This window comes from Homo sapiens, chromosome 3 (assembly GCF_000001405.40).
Source record: "Homo sapiens chromosome 3, GRCh38.p14 Primary Assembly".
Lineage (NCBI taxonomy): Eukaryota > Metazoa > Chordata > Mammalia > Primates > Hominidae > Homo > Homo sapiens.
In genome coordinates, this window is record NC_000003.12 from 82,222,355 (window position 1) to 82,245,430 (window position 23,076).

Sequence of the window (23,076 nt, forward strand, 5' to 3'; positions counted from 1 at the left end):
TTAGATTAATTTGAAATCTTTCTAAGTTTTTGATGAAGGCATTTACCACTGTGAACTTTACTCTTTACACTGCTTTACCTGTATCCCAGAGATTTTGTTAAGTTTTGTCTCTATTTTTATTTAATTCAAAGAATTTTTTTTACTTTTGCCTTAATGTCAATATTTACCCAGGAATTATTCCAGGAGTCAGTTGTTTAATTTCCATGTGTACTTTTGAGAGATCTTGATATTGATTTCTATTTTTACTGCACTGCTGTCCAAGAGTGTGCTTGGAATGCTTTTGAATTCTTTGCATTTATATACTTGCTTTATCACTGAGCATGCGGTCAATTTTAGATTATGTTCCATGTGCAGATGAGAAGAATGTATATTTGGTGGTTGATGGGTAGAGTGTTCTGTAGGTATCTATTAGGTTTAATTGGTAAAGTGTAAAGTTTAAATCCAGAGTTTGTTAGCTTTTCTCCTCAATGATCTGTCTAATGCTGTCAGTGATGTGTTGAAGTCCTCTACTATTATCATTTGGCTAAGACATTTCCTAGTTCAAAAGCACTTGCTTTATAAATCTAGGTGCTCCAGTGTTGGGTGCATATAAATTTAGGATAGATAGTTAAGTCCTCTTGTTGGATTGTACTCTTTATCATTATGCAATGTCCTTCTTTCTTCTTCTTGTTATAGGTTTAAAATTCATTTTATCTGATATAAAAATACAGATTCGTGCTATTTTTTTGTTTTCCATTTGCGTGACAGATCTGACTCCATCTGCTTTGAACCTGTTGGTGTTGCTACATGTTAGTTGGGTCTTTTGCAACCAGCAGACAGTTGGGTCTTATCTTTTTATCCATATTGTCACTTTATGTCTTTTAAAAGGGGCATTTAGCCCATTTACATTCAGGGTTAGTACTGATATTGATATATGAGATTTTTGATCCTGTTGCTGTGTTGTTAGCTGGTTGTTATGTAGACTCAATTGTGTAATTGCTTTATAGTTCCTGTGAGCTCTGTGCTTAAGTGTGTTTTTGTGGTAGCAGATGTCAGTCTTTTGTTTCCATGTTTAGCATTCCCTTAAGGGCTTAGTTGATATGCATTCCCTTAGCTTTGGTTGTGTGATAAAGATTTTGTTTCTGTTTCACTTATGAACCATAGCTTGACAGAATATGAGATTCTTGGTTGAAATTTCTTTTTCTTTAAGGATGCTGAAAATAGGCCCCCAGTTTCTTCTGGCTTGTTAAGGTTTCCGCTGACAGGTCTGCTGCTAGCCTGTTGGGGTTGCCTCTGTACATGACTTGGCCCTTCTCTGTAGCTGCCTTTAAGACTTACTCTTTTGCATTGACCTAGGTGAAGTTGATGACTATGTGCTTTGGGAATCATTTTGGATTGTATCTACTCAGGGTCTCTGCATTTCTTGAATTTGTACATCAACTGCTCCTTTGAGATTAGGGAAACCATAATAGACTATCTTATCAAATATATTTCCCAAGTTGTTTATTCTGTCTTTCCTCTCTCAGGTGTGCTGATGAGTCGTAGATTGTTTTTCTCTTTACATAATCTCACATTTCTCAGGGGTTTTTTTTTAGTTTCTTAAAATTCTTTTTTCTTTATTTTTGCCTGATTGAGTTTATTTGAAGATTGGTCTTTGGGCTCAGAGATTCTTTCCTCAATTTGGTCTATTCTGCTGTTAATACTTTCAGTTATATTATGAAATTCTTGTAGTGAATTTTTTAACTCTAGAAGTTCAGTTTGGTTCTTTTTTAAAGTGGCAATTTTATTTTCCAGCTCTTGGATTGTTTCATTGAATTTTTTGGATCCCTTGGATTGGATTTCAACTTTCCTTTGAATCTCAATGAGTTTCTTTGCTATCCAAATTCTTTATTCTATGTCCGTCATTTTTTCATTTCTAAGTGACTAAGAACCATTGCTGGGGAGCTGGTTGATTTGTTTGGATGTAAGAGTGCGCTCTGGCTTTTCAAATTGTTAGAGTTCTTGCTATGGTTCTTTCTCACATGGGAAGATTAGTGTTTCTTTAACTATGGTGTAATTTGAGTATAGTCACTTGGATTCATTTCTGGATGTTTTCAGAGGGCCAAGGCTCTGTGCAGGATCTTTATTTTTGGCTAGAATACTGTCCTTGGTTTCACAGCAGGACAAAGTAGCAAAGTATTTTTGGTGTTCTACTTTGGGCTGCAATCTAGTAGATAGATAGCACTTAAGAGTAATGGCCAGAAGATAGGCTCTTACTCAGCCAGGTGGCTCCTTTTTATTTCCTCGTGTTTGTAGCCATGCTTTATGATGCAGTGAGAGAGGTGACCCCTCCACCAGGTTTGCTCTTGAGACTTGAGAGTGCCCCTTCTGATCAGTGGCACTGGGCCCTCGTTTTTTTAATTAGGTGTTCTGGGCTGCACGGCTCCCTCAGGCAGAGGCCATGGCAGTGAGACAGGCCACACCTTTTCTAGGCTGGCCCTGTGGAGGAAGGCAGGCCCTGCTCTCCACAGCAGCCCAGGAACCCACGTGACTCACCCCTCTAAGTGCTCTGAGAGCTTGGGCTCTTCTGTTTAAGTGTTATCCACAGATTTTGGCTTAACACTCCTAAGCTCCTTACTGCAGCCCTGGGGAAAGCTCAGGCTTTTTGTTCCTTTCCCGGCTCAGGAGCACCAAGGGTGGGGACCTTAGCAGTGGCAATGGCAGAGGCCCTGTCATTGTTTCTGGGAGCTCCACCTCAGAGAAACAGAGAACCCTTGCCCATGAAAATGATCATCCGGGGTAGGGTGGCTGCACTCTGGGCCCACAGCAGGGTCTCTGATTGGCAAAGAGCCAGGAAGACACTCTGACCTTTTCTCTGTTTGGTGGCTGCAGCATGTTGGAGGGGCAAGGTAAGCTCTCAGGCTCTGTTCTCTGCCCCATCGGGGCAGAACCACCGGGTGAGAGTGCAGCGAGGGCAGCTACCGCTGTGGGCAGTAGCAGAGAGGCTGTCAGTTGCCTCTGGAGACCACCCTGGAGACACACAAAATTGCTGCCAATGGAAATGTTCAGCTGGTGCTGGGACAGCTACCCTGCAGCCCAAGCCAAGGCCCTGCCTAGTGAAAAGCAGGGGTGTTCGAGGCTCACAAGGAAGACAGTCTGTCCTCCTCTCTGTAGATTAGCTGCTGTGTGCTGTAGGCATGCAAAAGCCATCAGGGACTTTGTTTCTTTCCCAGCCTGGGGGATGCAAGGGTGGGTACTGCTGTGGTGGCAGTGGCAGAAAGCCTGTCATTTGTCTGGGAGCTCCACTCGAGAGAAATGCAGAGCCACCACTAACTGAAGTGATCAGGTGAGGGTAAGGCAGCTGTGTTGAGGGCCCAGGCCAGGAGCCCTGCCCAGTGAGGAGTAGCAGGGGCAGGGATGGCATGGAAAACAGTCTGGCCACTGTTATACAAGGTAGCTATGGTGTGCTGGAGGCCTGTGACAGTTTTGAGGCTCTTCACTCCTCCAGCCTAAGGGAAGCAGGGGTGGAAACTGTAGGCAGACCTATTGGTTACCTCTGGGAGCTTTATCCCAGAGAAATGCAGAGCTGCAGCTGACTGGAGTACTCAGGTGTGGGTGAGGTGGCTGTGCTGGTGTCCCAGTCTGGTGGGCTTTGCCTGGTGAGGTTGGGTCTGCAGTCCTTTGGTCCCTCAGCACCATGTACATGGCCCCTAACCTAGGGGCACACAGTACAGCCTGGGCTCCCTTGTTGGTAGATCTGTGGCAGCTGGTGCTGGGGTGCCCAAGGATCCAAGGCCTGTTGGGCTCCACATGGGCCTGAGCAGCAGCTCTGCTCAGACTCCATGTAGGTCTGTGGGTGGGGGGTGGGTCAGGAGAGATCTCATATGCCCAGGATGGCAAACATTCATGGAAGAAGTTTGAGTTCCTTGGGGCTGTCACTCACTCACCCTTTCTCCAGGTAGGGAGCCTACTCTGGCTCTGAGGCAGTCCCAGGTAGGTGGCTGTACTGCCTGGCTGCCCTCTGCTCCCCATGGGTCACTGTTGCTTCCTTGGTGAATCCCAATGTGGCCTCATGGATAACCCACTTCAAGACCTAGTGTTTACTTGCCACTCTCTCCTCTCTGTAATAGTGGCACACACTAGCTGCTTCTAGTCAGCCATCATGGTGCTTCTTTATACTAATTTCATTTTAATGCTTCATTGTATAAATGTACTACAGTTTGTTTACCTGTTTACCTATTGAAGGACCTCCATGTTGCTTCCAAGTTTTGGCAATTATGAATAAAGCTGTTATAAATATCCATATGCATGTTTTTGTGCAGACATGGGTTTTCAATTCATCTGGGTAAGTATCAAGAAATACAATTGCTGAATCATATGTTAAAAGTAAGTTTACTTTTGTAAGAAACTGCCAAACTGTCATCCTAAGTGGGTTTACCATTTTGCATTCCCATCAGCGACGAATGGGAATTGATGTTACTCTACATCCTTGTCAGCATTTGGTGTTGTCAATCTTCTGGATTTTAGCCATTCTAATAAGTGTGTAGTGGTATCTCATTGTTGTATTAATTTGAAATTCCCTCATGACATATGATGTTAAACATCTTTTAGTGTGTTTATTTGCCACCTGTATATCTTCTCTGATGGGGTGTCTACTCAGATATTTTGCCAATTTTTTAATTGGTTTAATTCAAAATGTACTAGAAATCCATTGAACTATTTTAAGCAGGGAAGTTATATGAGTAGATTTCATTTTTAAAAGAATCACTTTAGCTACTGGATACTTACAAGATAAAGGCAGATAAGAGTCAAAACAAAGAGACCAGTTAGTAGGCTATTACCATAATTTAGGAAAAAAAGTGGTGGTGCCTTGCTCTCTTGTGGTGGCACTAGAAGAGAGAGATGTCTGGATTTGGGATATATTTTGAAGGATATTTGATGTTGGGTTAGATAGTAAGTATGTTGGTTATTATGATACTAGTTATTTTTTTGCATTTTTAAAAATTACAGCTTTATTAAAATATAATTAACATACCATAAAATCCACCTCCTTAAAGTATACAATTCATTGGTCCTTAGTATGTTCACAGAGATGTGCCATCATTGCCACACTCTAAATTTAGAATACTTTCTTTGCTCCAAAAAGAAACCATGTACCCCTTGGCAGTCACTCTACTTTCTCCCAACTCCTAGTCTCCTAGCACTAGGCAATACTAATCTACTTTCTGTCTCTATAGGGTTGCCTACTTTAGACATTTCACATAAGCAGAATTATACAGCATATGGTATGACACTAGTTATTATAACAAACATGCTTCATTTTGTCAGTGGCTTAAAAACTAAAGTTTTGTTTTGCCTCTGACAGACTAATGTGGCTGTTTTTGGCCTCTGTATGTTTTTTTGGGTGGGGGGTACTTTTCACGCAGTCATTTATGGAGCCAGTCTGATTGAGAACCTGCAAACATTATGTGGGTTTCATGGTTTCCCAGGCATTGACATCCAGCTGGCTGATGGGAAAAAAAAAGGATGAAGAAGGTGCACTCACTTCTTAAGCACTTTGCCCAAGAAAGCTAATGTATCACTTCTATTAACTTTTATCTAATGAAAACCAGCTGCTGTGCTCCAAGTTTTATGCAAGGAGAATAGGAAATATGGTGACTCTTTAGGCAGCCACTTTGCTATAACAACTCTGCTATGCAAAAGTGAAAAATGAATTATTAGTGGAAAGTAGGTCATCTCTGCCATGTGAGATATGAGGAAAAAAAGAGTAGTCAAATATGGTGTCAGCAGTAGGAGGTCTGTTTACTGTTTGTTGGTACACTGAGTGGGCTAGGAACACTAAAATCACAAGAATACATTTTATATGCTAATTTGAGACATCTATTAGGCATTAAGTCAGACATCAAATACGGAGTTGAGAGGAGAGATGTTATTTAAGGTGTACATTTGGGAGTAATTAGAATACAAGATATATAAAGTCATAAAACTGTATCATCTAATTTAGGAAGTACATATGAATAAGAAAGAAAAATAAATCCAAGTTTTTTTTCCATTGCCAGAAGTTTACTTGCATTCCCATTTTATACACAGTAAAATTATGGCGTGAAGTTAAATGAATTAGAAAGAAAATAATCAGAATTAGAGAGAATTAGAAAGAAAAGCTGTGTCAGTCATTATCCAATATCCTTTCTGTATCCCTTCTAGAAATGGTTGCAGACTCAAATAAATGGCTATAAGAAGAAACTAGTTTCCTCAAGTAACCTATTTGAGGTAGACATTTTAAACATTTTTTTTTTCTTTTTCCTAGCAGGGTTTCCATATTCTAATTTTTATTCCTTGGGTAGTTTCTTTCTTTGTTGTTGTTTAAACACTTCTTAGCTCTAGGGAACTACTCTGTTTTATTTTTAATTGAATCTGGGACTTTGCAAGTTTGAAAGCCACTGACTTTTTTCATTGCAGTGTTTAAGAAGAGATTGCAAAATAGTATTTGTCAGAATGTTTTGGGCTGGAAGGATGACATACAATACCCATGTGAAGTCACAGACACTGCCTCTAAACACACTTTGTTTCTTCTATCAGTTACTTCAAAACAGGATATATGGCTTTCCATGACAAATTGGAGCTTCCTAGACATGCCATGTACACATTTGCCTCTCTTCCCAAGTTTGATAACCAAGTAACCCTAAAATTTAATATAGTAGATATTTTTCTAGATTTTGAAATTCTAAATTTTATAAAATAATTTGTTAATTAATTTGTAAAATGAAAGTCTTGTTTTTAAAATAAATATGGTGCTCTCTTCAAATTACAAAATGCCATATAGTTACGCATTGTTGTGTATAAAAATTCCTCAAGTTTGGTATACTTATTCACTGCAAGTTTTTCTGTACTCATTACTCAGATAATTGTGTTTCTACCTTCTTTTCACTCAGTAAGTTTATTCTGAAGAAGAAGGATTCTGATTGTTGGGATAGATTTTGCAGGTATCTAAAGGGTTTATAGTCATTTTGCAGGGGCCATTTTGCAGGTATCTAAAGGGTTTATAGTCAGTTACTAAGATCTATAAATCTGATGTCAGAAGGTGAAAAAAATTATGAAAATTACTTGCTAAAATAATTGACAGCTAGTAGTACTTACAACACAGGTGGAGAATAAAGCTCAATTTCAAAAGCAGTCTATTCAACCTCATATTCATAGTGGTTTCACCCACTCCTTCCTTCCTTTTCCCCTAAGCACAGCTGCAAGTTTAAGTAGGAAGGCAAACGATAATCAGCCACTTCGATTGGCTGCTGAATCACAGTTGTGCCCAATTTGCCTGTTTAACTTTTTTTCTTCCTTGATTGACTGCGGTTCTTTCCTCCCCTAAATGTTCATAATGACAACATGACAGGTCAGAGCTTTTCAGTGTCAGAGACTAGCCACACAACACAGTCGCTCTCACAAAGCAAAGTGGCAAAAGTGTTATAATGCTAGCACATTTAGTTTTGCCCTATCTTATTTGTGTTAAAATTAACCACAGACATATCACAGTGCTACATTGTGAATCTAAATTCCAACTGGAAGTACGGTTGGTTTACTGATAATTTTCTGAAGGGTGTATCTGTGTGTGTGGTGTTTGTGTGCATAAGGGAGAGAGAGTTTGTAAGATTGAAAAGTTGTGAGATTTTATTTTCTTTTCGTTATAAAAAAAGAAAAGAACCTCAAAGCAAAAAGCACCCACTCATAACGAAGAATTTGACTTTCCAGGAAAACGATGAAGAATGTTCCATTCATTCGTAGTATAAATAGTAGCTCTAACCCATTTTCACCTCCTTCCTCATACTTGCAAAGCTGAAATATGTTCAGTACTTTAACTTATGATATGTCAATCCTGAAAGTGGAAAAAAAAAAGTACTATGATAAATGTAGCTACTAAAGAGGCTATATGACATTTTTAACTTTACAACATTTTTTAAAAGAGATCAAGTTTTAATGTTATAGAAGGATAGATGTTAAATGATATAAGAGGAGGATAGGACCATCACAATGGTTTAGCATATTGACCAGGAATTTCCTTTTGTTTGTGTACATGAAGTGTGTGCGTGTGCATACGCGTATATGTGAAAGAGAGAGAAAGACAGGTTGGTGAGGGGCAGAGAAATAATTTTTTGCTTTCCTTAATTTTACCAAATAAACTTTGCTTTTTGTCTTATAGTAATAGCATGCAATATTGTAATTTAAATTAGATTAAAATCTGTTTTTATATTAGATCTTGCAATGAATTCAACTCAAATAGTTATCTCCTTTTTGTTTTAACATCAATGTCTAAATTATTTTTCTTAAAAGTTTTCCCATTGTTTAATACATTTGTGTTAAAATGTCTATAACAAACATTTCAGAACTACATATTAAAGACCAAGACTAAATTCTTTTGTTCAGTATCTCTCAAACATGAAGGTGCAGACTAGGTGCTTGGGAACCTTATTGAAATGAAGATTCTAATTCAGATAATTGGAGGTGGTGCCTATGATTTTAAGTTTATCCCAGTTATATTGATGCTCACAGTACGTGGAAAAACTTTGAGTAGAAAGGCTTTATTTTGAATCAAAAATAATTTAATAACAACAATAATAATTTTATGCATATTGTATCTCCAGGGAAAATAATAGTTAACATGAAAAATTAATAATCAGGTGTACAAGACTATCAAATTTATTGAATATCGTTTAGGTAGATCATTCAGTTCCATTACTCTATTAATACTGAAATTCTGTAACTGTACTGTGAGACATTTGTCTAACATTGACTTCTTATTGGCAGATTCAATACCTGTTGACTTACGATAAATTTTAAGGTTTGCAGATTGTTGAATATGTCTGAAAGTTCTTTGAGAAGAAGAATATTAGGAAACAGCTGAAGTGCTTTTAAACTATGATACAGTCTTTTGGCATGCTAATGAATTGAACTAGAAAACTCGTTTGCATCTTAAAGCCACAAATCATAAACTGTGAATGAAAAACCAACCATGAAGGAAAAAAAATTGGTGTGTTCTGTTATAAGTTAGTATGAAAGTCTACATTTTGTCTAGTGATAAACAACACTCACTGCAGATACTTCAGGTTAGACCAGATCTGGTCTGAAAGCTTAGCAGATTGCACTCTAATGAGGGATTCTGGGGAGATGATTAGCTATAAGGACATACATATATAATAGCTCTATCATAAATCCTTTACAGAGAAAATAAAAGAGAATTTATGTAATACTGGAACATCTCTGACTATAACTCCTAAAATAATAGATGTCATAGGGTACCACAACTCAGGATGCCAAATATCACAAATGTCTTAGTCCTAAAACGAGTCTTAAATAAACCAAAGCACTGGATCTAGCATGTGCATATTGTTGCTCCATGTTTGACTTTCTGCTGCAGACATTTCCAATAACAAACTTAAATTCTTTCTTATATATCTTTATAGTTATTTGTTTATTCCTGGGCTACTACTGTAATAAGAAAGAAAAAAAAATGTGTGATTAAGCAATTTGTACATAATGCAAGTCCAAGATCAAAGATGTTAACAGGTTTGGTTTCTTCTGAGGCCTGTCCTTGTCTTACAGATGGCTGCCTTGTTGCCTCGTCTTCACATGGTCTTCTCTCTGTGCATGCGTACCTCTAGTATGTCTTTGCGTGTCCAAATTTCTCTTATAAGAACACTATTCAGATTGGATTGTGGCCTGCCTTAACAACCTCATTTTAATTTAATCAAGTCTGTAAAGGCTCTGTCTTCAAATACAGTTACATCCTAAGGTACTAAAGGTTAGGGCTTCAACATATACACCTTTTTTTTTTTTTGCTTTGTTTTTTTTGAGAAGGAGTCTCGCTCTTGTTGCCCAGGCTGGAGTGCAATGGCTCAATCTCGGCTCACTGCAACCTCTGCCTCCCAGATTCAAGTGATTCTCCTGCCTCAACCCTCAGCCTCCCAAGTATCTGGGACTACAGGCACCCACTACCACGCCCAGCTAATTTTTGTAATTTTAGTAGAGACGGGGTTTCGCCATGTTGGTCAGGCTGGTCTTGAACTGCTGACCTCAGATGATCCACCCACCTTGGCCTCCCAAAGTGCTGGGATTACAAGTGTGAGCTACCACACCCGGCCTTCAACATATAAACTTCGAGGGGACACAGTTCAGTTCATAACAAATTCAGAATCCTGTATTTGTAAGAGATCTAGGTCAACACCCTTGTCTTACAACTGAGGAAATGGAGACTTCTTCAAATAAATAAATACTGTGTTCAAGGTCACCAAATTAGTTAGTGGCTGAGTCTAGAATTCATCACAGATATCCTGAATTCTGACTGGTTGGATTTTTGTTTTAACTTTACCACACAACTTAACTCAATTTTGATATATTTTCTATAGGTGTTGTTTCTAGAGTTGTAATTGAAAAATGAGTAGACACAATAAAAAGAGAGCCAGGATTTACAGCTAATGTTGTTCTAATCCACCTCCTCTAGTTGGACAAGCTTTATCAGAGCCAGAAAATAGTCTCAGGAAGAAAACTAGGATGGACTGGTACAACAAAGTCTGAATCTAGATTGGTTATTATGGCCATTACTTCTAACTTACTGATATAAAAATATATTCACTTTCATAGAATTCCTGAAGTTTGATTCTTGCCATGGTAGATGAAACATTCTTAACACAGGTGACTTTTATGAGAATTTTAAGCATGTACTTATGAAGTTTGTTATCTTTTGACAGTAGCGTGTAGATATCACATATAAAGTTTTTGAGAAAAAAATTAAAAAGCCAAAAACCTTATCATCTTGAAAGGCAAAATAGTAACTATTATTAGAAAAGAGAAATGACAGCAATTTTTTATTTATAAACCCAATTAAATTACCAATATTTTCTTTAACACATATTTGCTTTTTCCTTATAACTTAAATATAGCCTTCCTTTAAATTATTAATATCTGCTTAAACTTTACTGGCTCAAATATCAATTGTGCAAACATGGAGATCAATAGAATTTAATAAGAATTTGCACAATTGGCTGGGCGTGGCAGCTCACGCCTGTAATCCCAGCACTTTGGGAGGCCGAGGTGGGTGGATCACGAGGTGAGGAGATTGAGACCATCCTGGCTAGCGTGGTGAAACCCCGTCTCTACTAAAATACGAAAAATTAGCCGAGCATGGTGGTGGGCACCTGTAGTCCCAGCTATTCGGGAAGCTGAGGCAGGAGACTGGAGTGAACCCGGGAGGCAGAGCTTGCAGTGAGCCGAGATTGTGCCACTGCTCTCCACCCTAGGAGACAGAGCGAGACTCCATCTCAAAAAAAAAAAAAAAAAAAAAGAATTTGCACAATTAATAAGCTAAGAAAAATAAAAATAAAATGCAAGATGTTATCAGTAGATGAGCCAAAGCTAGACATATTTAGGCTGACTATAACAAAGTGATGCCAATATAAGTCTAATTTGCTCATTTGTAAAAATGTTTCTAAGAAAGAAAGAAAGAAAAAGAAAGGAAGGAAAGAAAGAAAAAGAAAAGAGATGGAGGAAGGAAGGCAGGGAGAGAAATAGAAAAGGGGAGACAGGGAGGGAGGGAGAAAGAAAGGAAGGAAGAAAAGAGTGATAGGGAGGAAGGAAGGGAGAAAGAGAGGGAGGAAGGGTGAGAGAGAAGAAGGAAGGAAGGAAAGAAGGAAGGAAGGAAAAAAGGAAGGAAGGAAGGCTGAATTGATTTTTGGTAGACCTCTTTAAATTATGGCAAAGAGTATGTTGTCAACTTTCTGAAACTATTTCCTGAATTTGATTAGCAAACTTATATTAAAAGAATGTCTTCAAATAGTGGAGAAAATGACTGTCTTTGCTTGTCAGATCCATAAACTCTAGGATGTGTGTTTTCCTATTCTTGACTGGGGTACCAATGTGTGACCCATCTGGTTATGACTAAGGGGCCAGATATGAATCAGCAAGCTGCTTCTCCTGATAAAATTCTTTTTCCATCACTTCTCCAGGAATATGAATCTGGAAGGTTGAAGTGTTGTGTTGAGAAAATATTTGTGTAATATACAAGGTAAGTACACTCTATGGTCAGCTAAAAAAAAATTTATTGGTTTGTGTATTGGCTCTGCACAGTTTCCCAAAAATAATTGTCAGTCATTATGGCTAGACTCCTCTCTTTTCTATCTACATATTTGTACAGTGACTCTATTAGTTACCTACCAGACTGAAAAACTCTCCTGATTTACCTGTGGTGGTGATAGATCCAGTGGAATCAGGCAGTGGGTACTTAAGACCCAAATGTCACCTCCGTATGAAAAGACTTCCTTAACCATTCTACCAAATGTAGTTCTTGAATTCCTTCTGACCTTTCATACCAACACCCTGCTTTATTTTCTTCATTACATTTACGTTTAACTGAAATTACATTATTCTCCCTCTTTTTCTGTCCTCCTTCATTAGATTGTAAGGTCTGAGTAAGTAGGGACTGGTCACTGGTCTATCCCTAACATCTAAAACAATACCTGACATAAGAAGTGTGCTTAATACACATATGCTGAATACATTAATCAAATAATTTACTGATGTACACCGTATATACTGCTCAGTGATATTATGGTTATTGTTGTCTTTCTACTTCTCAAGCAACTGGCATTTGAGAACTAGGCATTATGGGAAATCTATAATTAAAATAGTCTTCAGAGTTTTCTAATCTCCATTAACAGTTGTTTTTATAATAACTGATGATAGAAGTTTTCTACAAAGAGAACAGTGTGTTGAATTTGAGACATACCTGTAAGAGTTTAGAAAAGGAGCACTTCCTAAACATCCCTATAGAATCGTGTCACTTTCATGGAAAAATGTAAAGAAGGAGGTAACAGAGAGAAAAGGAGAAAAGGTAAAAAATAGAAGCAAAATGAAATTAGACGGTAGTTTAAAAGCATTACAAGTAACCAATAACAAAAGAAAGGGAGAAAACTTTTTCAATCACACTGCAGAAGTAATTATCGGAGCTTAACCAAAAATATGCTGCAATTTGTAGTTGACTGGGTATAAAGAGATGTTATTGGTTTCCATTATTTTTCTTGTGTCTATTCATGCCTTTCATATTATACAATTGGATATATGGATTAAAAACTAAGCAAAATCCTATTATGTAAAAGAACATTTGCAAAAAATTTAGATTATAGTAATTTGAAGGTTTAGATGTTCTAAAGAAAGCATCAGTCATACAAATTCACTAAATCAAAGTAACATAGCTGCAAAAACATCATATTAATAAGAACTTATTTCACACTCTTGATGTAGAAGAGTTTCAGCTTGTATGCTAGGCTTTTAATTATTGAATGTATGGAGATCCCCCTTTTTATGTGGAATTTAAACATTCCTGATTCAATTTACTAAGAGCTAAAGAACACCCACTTCTAACTTGTCTTCTGCATGTTATATTGTAGATTAAATATATCCAAATCAAACATCAATGTGATGTTGATATAGAAGGGGTGTCCTGCCTCATTAATTAGATAAATTAAATAGTGAGAAATGTCCATAGAATATTTCTCCAATGTCCATTCAACATGTAAAATGTCTCTTAAGTGAAATTAGGCCAATGGTGTGGAGAGAGTCTCCAGCTGTAGATCCCTTTCTTCAAAATAAATGCATTGGGAAATGTAGTAAAACTGGTAAAAGCAGACTGCTTTAGGTAAATTGTCAGTGGAGAGCTTGGATATCCACCCACTGTACTGTCCCCTACCCCATGGCCAATAAAACCCTCTGACTTTGAGTCAGAATTATTATGACATCCAAGATCCATTTATTCTTATAGCTGTGGTCTCTAAGTTTTACAAATAAGAATACATGAGAGAAGAAATTGTTTTCCTGAATCAGATTGTGGGGGCTCCTTTGCCTTCTCCATGACATAGAACTTTAGTAGAGTCTTGCATCAAATATAAAATAGAGATAGAACCTTTAAAAAAGATTTCGTAAACTCAAAAATTCTAACCAATAGTCAAGTCCGATTCTATCAGTTCTTTCTCCTCTGACAAAACCTCCCATGTCCATATTACTTGGTAAGGCATGAGAAGGGAACCTCGTCAGGAGAAACAGCCAGGTGCTTTATGCTTTCTCAGTCATGATCACATATGCCAGACATCCTGGTACCCTGGGCAAACATTAGAAACTGTAAACCTTACATTTTATTTATCTGAAAAGAGGAAGTGGTTATTTTAATTTTATCTGTAGTATTTCAAGACATTCTTTTAACATAAGTTCAGTAACTCAATTAACAGAAAATAAAATGTCATTGTTCAGAGGTATGGACAATGAAAGGTATTCTGAACTTAAAGAGGGATTAAATAGAGAGGTTAGAAGAATTAATATTTTCTGCCTGAGTTAATTTCCAATTCTTCTTCAAAATTAGACACCTGTCTTATTTGCAACAAAATTCTGCTTAAATATTTCTAGTTATCAGAGGGCATGTTATTCCAAAGTCAGACTCTTTCATTTGTGGAGTTCTAATTATCTGGCAATATTTACATAGAATTGAAATCTGTCTGCCTGTAATTATGAGCCATTATTTCTAGTTGTCCAGTACAAAAAGACAAAAGACAATCTTTTTTTTCACTTAATTATTCATTCATGAGTTCATTCAGCAAATACTGATTGGGTATATTCTCTGTGCTAGTCATTGTGCTGGGCAATAAGGATGCAAAGATGGAGAAAGGAAAGTTCCTGTCCCTCAGAAGCTCATGGTACCTTGTGTCAGACACGCACAAACTATGTCAACAGAGTTTAAAGTACAGGATTCTAGGTGCCTCTCTTCCTATTTCCATATTATTCATTTAAACCACTATTTATTCAGGTGCTCACACTGGAAGACTGAAAGTCACTTTAGAATCTATACTTTCCATCACTCTCTTATTCAGTGTTTCATCTAGCCCTAGTGGGTATATCTGTACCTCTAAAATGTATCTTGATATATCCATCTCTGTCAATCTTACTACAAGCTCCACATTCTAAGCCATCACTATTTCTCAATTAGACTAGTACGATAATTTCCTCCATTGTTTTCTTGTTTCCATTGTTGATGGTCTACAATCCATTCTTCCTGAGGACTGTAAACTTTCAAAAATATAAATCAGCTTGCATGACAAATCTGCTGAAAAATATCTTTAAGTGTTTTTTTTGTTGTTGCCCTGAAAGTGAGATCCAAATGCCTTACCTTGATCTATAGAGCTTTTCTTGATCTAGCCACTACTTTCCTTTTGAAAATTTATTAATGCCTCATATTACTCTCTCCTGGAGTTTGCCAGCATGTAGGCATTTTATTCAGAGTTGTTGTTTGTACTTTATCTCTGGGTTGATTTCCCTGTCTCTACCCTTAACACACCACTTACCCACACTTAAATAATACTGAATGTGAGACTTTCCCTAACAACCCTCGATTTAAAAAAAAAATAAGCAAAAAGACATCCCTTTCTATCACTGCATTTTTCTAAAACATTTATACAACTTTCTATATTTTGAAATTTTTCCATATTTCATTATTTTTCCATATTTTGTTTTTAACCTGTTTATTTAAAGTCTCCTCCATTAGGCTATGAGTTCCATAACGGCTTGTTGCTGAATCCCTCATGGCTAGTTTATTGCTGACTTATATTAGTCACTCAGCAAATACTGTTGAGTGAATAGGCAAATGAATTAATCAATACATAGAAACAGAACCTACCACAATTTTGGAGTATCTATTGCCTAACTTAACGTTGATAAAGTTAAATTATCAGGTGAATACATACACATACTCAATACACACATATATTTCTTATTTTATCTTTTTATATAGGGTTTGTATCTCAGTCTGGTTATCATCCTAGTGACTTTTTCAGATAATTGTTTCAATATTCACCTTAAAATATGAAGGCCAAATATTACTACAATATAAACAGCAGTGACATTTATGGAATAAATTTGATAAAACATATTGGAATGTAATATTCACTACTTTAACCCTCTAACCCCAGGAACTGTATTTTGTCCTAAGAAAATAATTAAATCTGTAGACAACTGTTTAAATGCAAGCATTTTGTTATTGTTGTTGTTACCCTGCTGTTTAATAAAAGAGAAGTACTGGATTAAATCAAAATAGCTATCCAATAATATAATTTAAGCACAGATATAATGAGATATCCCTGAATAATTTTCAAAGAAACTTAAGTTCATCATTAAAAGTTACTAAATCCAAAAGTAAACAAACCAATGTGATCAAGAGTCATCAGAAATAACAATAGAATAAGATCCAAAAATATTTCAAATATTGAATCTTTTAGGCAGAGAATATACAATAAATATTTAAGTTGTATAAAAACCTAAGAGAGTAAAGAAAAAAAGGAATGATAAATTACTAAATTTAAAAATTACTAAATGTAACTAAACAAATTTGGTAACTAAATACAGAATATAGAAATAAAAATTAATTGAAATTAAAAATTCAAAAGAGGCTTTTAGTAATAACTAAGTAATTTGGATTGATGTTGTCACTGAGGTCAAAATGTATGTTTTCAAAAGACTTCTTAAAAGCCAGTGTCTGGAATAAGATGAAAATTCAGAGACATGTCTGATACTTAGAACCACTTTCACCTTGGAGTGGCTGCTGATGTTGCAAGTGATGCTTGAGACTCCAGAGAGATTGTACAGTGCTTTCATCAGCCTCCTAGGTAAGAAAGGCTCAAGCTGAATACTGGTATCTGCCAAGGACTCCAAGTAAGTAGTTGATAGAAATAACAGTGCATAATGAGTAGACCAGTCTACATAGAGACTACAGGCCAAATTGGAACTATCTCAATCTTTGAAATTAAATTCAGGTAATAGGACATTGCGAGTTCCCAGGAGCCCATAAGAAGCAAGTAAAAAATTATCTCTGAAGTGAGACATAATCCTAGGCCTTGCATTATTTTTGTAATTTTTCAAGTACAGTGTGCTGCAAGCGAAAATAATAAAAATTAAAAATAATCAGGCACATCATGATATAAGACAACATGAATGAGACCCGGAAGAAATGATAAGCAATTGAAACAGACACAGGGAAGCTGCTGTTATTTCATGTTGTTATTCAGAATTGTCAAGACATAGATTTTGAAAAAAAATAAGTTTAACATCTTCAGTAAAAGGAAAGGTGAAATTGAGAATTTTTAAAATAAGCTATATAAAAGAAAACATGGGAAAAGTATACATATTCTACAACCAAAATGTAAATAATCAAATTAGGAATTCAACAACAAATTAAAATTTGAATATAAGTCAGAAAAACATATCCAGGAGAAAAAAAGAAAGAAGAAAAATAAAGGGAAAGTAAGTGACATAAACAATACTGTTCAAGTTATACATTTGACTCTTGTTTATGGTAGTTATGTTCTATAAAGTTGCTGCAGGTACTGCATTAGCAAATACTGAAATATTTTTTCAAGGGGACATAAGGATTAGGTTTCTATGAGTGTCTGGTCACATTTCTCATCAACTGATCAATACATGACTTTGGTTCCTGTGTGTTTCTATTTAAAGACACTTTATTATTGCTATTATTATTTTTTGAGCCATTCTGCCCAGCTAATTTTTGTTGATTTTTGTGGAGACGGGGTTTTGCCATGTTGCCCAGGCTGGTCTTGAACTCCTGGGCTCAAGTGATCCACCCCCCTCACCCTCCCAACACTTTATTATAATATATATTAGTTAATTAACAGTGAAGTCACAGCCAACAGCACTGTAGCTCATACTTGAATGAAACTTATATAACACTCATATTTTTTCAGTCAAGAACATACATCACAGCCTGTTTGTTCTTAGGAACACTAGGCAGCACTTCAGTAGTATACTTGTTGCCATTTTTAAACAGCAAAATCACCAACTAAAAGCACAAAATGGGTAAAATATAGCATTTAAATAGACAGCAAAAAGGGCAGGACTCGGCTGGGTGCTGTGGCTCACACTGGTAATCCCAGCACTTTGGGAGGCAGAGGCGGGTATATCACTTGAGCTCAGGAGCTCAAGACCAGCCTGGCCGACATGGCGAAAACCCATCTCTACTAAAAATGCAAAAATTAGCCAGGCATGGTGGTGCACATCTGTAATCCCAGCTACTTGGGATGCTGAGGCAGGAGAATCTCTTGAACCTGAGAGGTGAAGGCTGCGGTGAGCTGAGATTGTGTCATTGCAGTCCAGCCTGGGTGACAGAGCAAGACTACGTAAAAAAAAAAAAAAAAAAAGGCAGCAAGACTTATTTATAGCCTGAGAGCTGAAACAAAAGGACAGTATCACCTTGTTTGACCCCAACTTCAAGACTGTCAATTAACTACTCAAACATTTCATCTCTGTGCATGCCTGCTAGTGACTGCACAAGCACCATGATTATTGATTTTGAGGTTACAAAAAAACTTTAGCAAGTAAGCAAATTCACAAATTCAGAATTTCCAAATAATGAGAATCAATTATGATTGGTGTAGCAAAAAGAATGCAGAAAGTGGTGTAGAAACAGCATTTTAATAGATAATAGGAATTATCCAACACTGAAGACATATATTAATTCTCAAATTTAGGGATCCCTCATGTCCCAAGTAGGATACATAAAAATCCTCACACAGTCATGTGAAATTTTTAAGTGAGAATTCATATCTCAGCAGAACTCAATATAAGAATAATATGCTTCAGAATAATAAAGTTTCAATTAAGTCTACTTGTAAGATGCTTCCGAATAATAAAAAATAGCAATTCTAAATATGTGTGCACCTAACAACCTAGTCTCAATTTTATAAAGCAAAAATGAAACAGAGCTGTAAGAAAAAACAGATAAAACCATCAGCATAACATTAGATTAAAAAATATATCTCTGTGACTATGAGAAAAACAAACATAAAGAGGTTTGAATATTGAAAAAACACAATGAGTAAACTAATCCCCGTAAACATACATATGTTCACCCAACCATTGTAGAATGCCAAGAATCTTACAAAATGACCTTAAGAAAATAGTGTCCCCTGGCCAAAATTAAATTATGCTTCAAAAAGTCGTAAAATCCTAACTATAAAATACCCAAATATTCAGAATAATGTGTGAGACAAGGAAAAAATTAACAATGGGCACAGGTAAATTTTTTGAACTAATTATATTCAAGATTGTTTGAATTGTGAGATTGTGAGATTTGAGTTGTGAGATTCAGGTAAAGTATAAAAAATTTTTCTGCTGTAATCTGTATATTAGTAAAGAAAAAAGGCTAAAAATAAAAAAAAAAGCCCCTTACAAAAAGCAGAAAGAGAAAAACAAAATAAACGTAAATGGAAAAGGACATAATAAAAACAAATTAATGAAACAATACAGGTATAAAATAGAATATTAACAGAATTAAAAGTTGTGTCTTTGAAAGACCAATAAAATTTATAAACATCTTGTGAAACTAAATTGAAAAAAAAACAGGAAAGAAATCAGTCAATATAAATAATGTAAAGTAGTGTCTCTAAAGATTATACTCATATTAAAATAATAAGATGTTATAAACCTATGCAAATAAAATTTTAATTATAACTAAATGCCTATATTCCTTAAAATAATGTATGCTATTTTCTGTAAGAGAAAATAATAAAATATGACACATTTAAATACTTTTATGAATAAAACTTTACAAAAATATATTAAAGAAAAACCTAAGCCATGTTCAGAAAAGGAGATTTAATAATGAATGCATGACAATTCTTCCACAATCACTATCTAGATTTAATGTCACTTAAATCAAATTTCTACCAAGGATTGCCATGTAGTTAAAAAAGTCTCAAAATATATTATTTGAAGTTACACTTTTTGGTGGTAAAACGATAAAGGAAAGGAAGAAAATAATTCAAGAGAATGATTATCTTTGAGTGATGAAGGAGAATATGATTTGGGAAACGCACAGAGAGGCTTCAAAGGAATTGGCATTGTTCTGTTTTCAGCTGATTTGTGATAACTATCTGTTCTTTTTGAAAATTATCCTAAAGTTGTACATACATGTTTTATACATGTTTTGTATGTGTGATAGTTTTGTAGTTAAAATCTTAATTGAATAAACAATAAAACTATAATTATAAAACTGTAGAGCATGTGAGATCTCATATACACATATCTATAAATATGTACATATCTGGGATAAAACTTAATCATAAAATTTTTCTTCCAAATCTTGGTTAAGAAAAAGGAAAATATTCTCATTAAAAAACTACAGTAAATTTTTGTTATTTATTTATTTATTATTTATTTATTTATTTTGAGATAGAGTCTCGCTCTGTCACCCAGGCTGGAGTGCAGTGGCAAGATCTAACAGTTGTAGACCTAGATTTTCCTCTGAGACACACATTCTGTCTATTCTGGGACAAATGCCATTGAGTACTAATTTTAGATTATTGTAAAACAAATACCTATCCAGTATTCCCAGAAAAGAACCAAAGACTACAAAGGAAATTATTGCAAAACCATTTGAATGATTTAATCTTTAATGTGGTTTAGTAATTGGGTAATTATTTTAGATCAAATTTAGATTTTCTAAAACTCTAAATGTGCTTCTTTCTATATTATTGTGAGTATAAGGAAAAGACTGAAAGAAATATTCTGCATTGTTAATAGTCATCATGTAAAGTTGGTGGGATTATGCAAGATTTTTTTTTTTTTGAGATGGAGTCTGGCTCTGTCACACAGGCTGGAGTGCAGTGGCGCGATCTCAGCTCACTGCAACCTCTGCCTCCTGAGTTCAAGCGATTCTCCTGCCTCAGCCTCCTGAGTAGCTAGGATTGCAGGTGCGATCCACCACCCCTGGCTAATTTTTGTATTTTTAGTAGAGATGAGGTTTCACCATGTTGGCCAGGCTGGTCACGGACTTCTGACCTCAAGTGATCGCCCACCTCGGCCTCCCAAAGCGCTGGGATTACAGGCATGAGCCACCATGCCCTGTTTGCAATATCTTTAATCTTCATATTTGTATGCATTTTTCGCTTCTTAAAAGGAGTATATGACTGTAAGAGAAAAATGAACTTTAATAAATTTCAGAGCCCAGCACAAAACATAAACCTCCAGTTGTGGCCTGAACAATGCGGAGTTCAGTGGGATAATTACCTTCTTTATCTGGACTCTAGACTTGCATTATTGTGCTCAGTGTGGTGTTAACTGCCACGTCATCTTTTTGGCTTATATTGATGTTGTAGTCAACCAGAACACAAAGATTTTATCAAGTAGATTGCTATTAAGATAGAATAGTACAAGAGATTTTGTTAACTGAAATGAAGAACATTTTCCCAGTTAATGTAATTGTGTGTCCAAGTTCATATTCTTAGCTTTTCAGAATGCTTCGGGAGAACAATGGAGAGCTGGATGACCTTGACTTCTACTTAACTTTCTCTCCTATAATTCCTATCATTTTATTTATATATGCATGCTTAGATAACCTATACCCTTGAAAAGATAACCCCCCAAATCCCTTTCACACTTCAATAACACGTTTAAACACTGCCTTTTAACCCTTTATTTAAATATATTGAAAGATAAGTTTTCATTAGTTAAAACTTACTGGGCCTTTGCAACTTATATTCTGCTCATAACATTCTCTGGCTACTTACATAAAGACATTTAAAGACATTCTAATTATAAACATGAAAATTATTTCCTCTTAGTACATCCTACTGAACCATGATCTGCCATCTCTTAGGAATAAGACTCTAATCCAAGAGCTATAATGGCAGAAATTCAGCCCCTAGTTTGGAGCTTTATGTAGGCGAGGTTTCCCAAGCTGAAGCAAGCACTTAACTTAGTAAAAGATAAATCCTAGGAACTTGGACATCCAAGGACTGGAAAATACATGACATTAAGAAAATGATTGAAATTTGTCACACCCGCTGGATTTTCAGATTCTGTCATAAATCCAGCATAAATGTAATATAGTTGATTTTTGGTAAACAGCACCTAGTTTCATCATTCTTACAAGACATAAAACTTAGAATCACCGTACGTTTTTTTTTTTCACTTTCTCATGCACTTCACAACTCCATCGAGACAAAAATCTCTAAAGCTTCAATTTTCTTTTGGAGAACACTATCTTTTCTGCCTTTATACTTGCTCAACTGCCTCTTTTTGTTTTCTTGGCTCTTATCTCCACTCACTGTAATTATTACCAGAATATTGTAGGGATTCTCCCTGTTGACACTGTGGGCCTCCTCCAATCTATCTTCCTTGCTGTTGTGAGAATAAACTTCATATAATGTAGTTCTAACTGCGTCTCTTCCCTTCCTTTAATACCTCAGAATACAACATCTCCCACTGCAAGGTTCAAATTTCTTAGCTTAGTACACTAAATACTTGTGGCTAGGTTTTTTCCTACCTACCTAGCTTTATTTACTCCAGTGTCCTCTCATTGCACCATTCTTTACAGTCAGTGCCCTTAATGTGCCAAGATTTTCCCCATTTCCATGTCCCTTTTCCTGTTGATCTCTCTGCTACAATGACTTATTCATCCCACTCCTCTAATCTTGTTTCATTTGGCTAACTCCTGTTCCTTCCAAATTTGGTTCAAATGTCAACTCAAACTCCCAAAATGATTTTAAAGGCCTTCATTTGGGATTCCATGAATACTTGTAAACTTTTCTTATAACGTTTAACAAACTTAGTTATCTCCTACGATAAGCTACAAATTTATTGAGGACAGGAACCACATCTTGTTTGATTTTGTATCTTTAGTGCCTAGCAAAATGATTAGCTCTCAGTGGTCTCTTGATAAATATTTTTTGACATAATATTTGTCATCTGTATTTCCTAGAGAACACTGAGACAAGGAAATCCCACAGTTAATCACCTCTGAAACGACAACCATGCACGCACTCACCACACATTTTTTTCCTTATAGACAGCTTTTTTTTTCCTGTAATTTTTTGCGAGTTACCTTTCATTTAAGTTTTCCTGCTAACATGATTCAAATTTCTCTTTATGCATCTATTCTTCCTCAACCTCATGGTGATGGGGTGGATATATGACATTTGTGCAAATCAGACAATCAGGACATTTTTATTCTCTTGGCTTGAATAATTAGTTCATGGATTTGTGACCCAATTAAAGGCATGGAGAGTCAAATAAAGTTTG

The 23,076-nt window shown here is 36.0% G+C and overlaps 1 long non-coding RNA gene across 1 annotated transcript in view; it reads left to right on the plus strand.

Annotated features, from left to right (window-relative positions):
- LINC02008 (long intergenic non-protein coding RNA 2008) overlaps window positions 1–23,076 on the plus strand; it is a 477,534-nt gene that overhangs the window by 236,213 nt on the left and 218,245 nt on the right. The gene's annotated exons all lie outside the window — the stretch shown is intronic.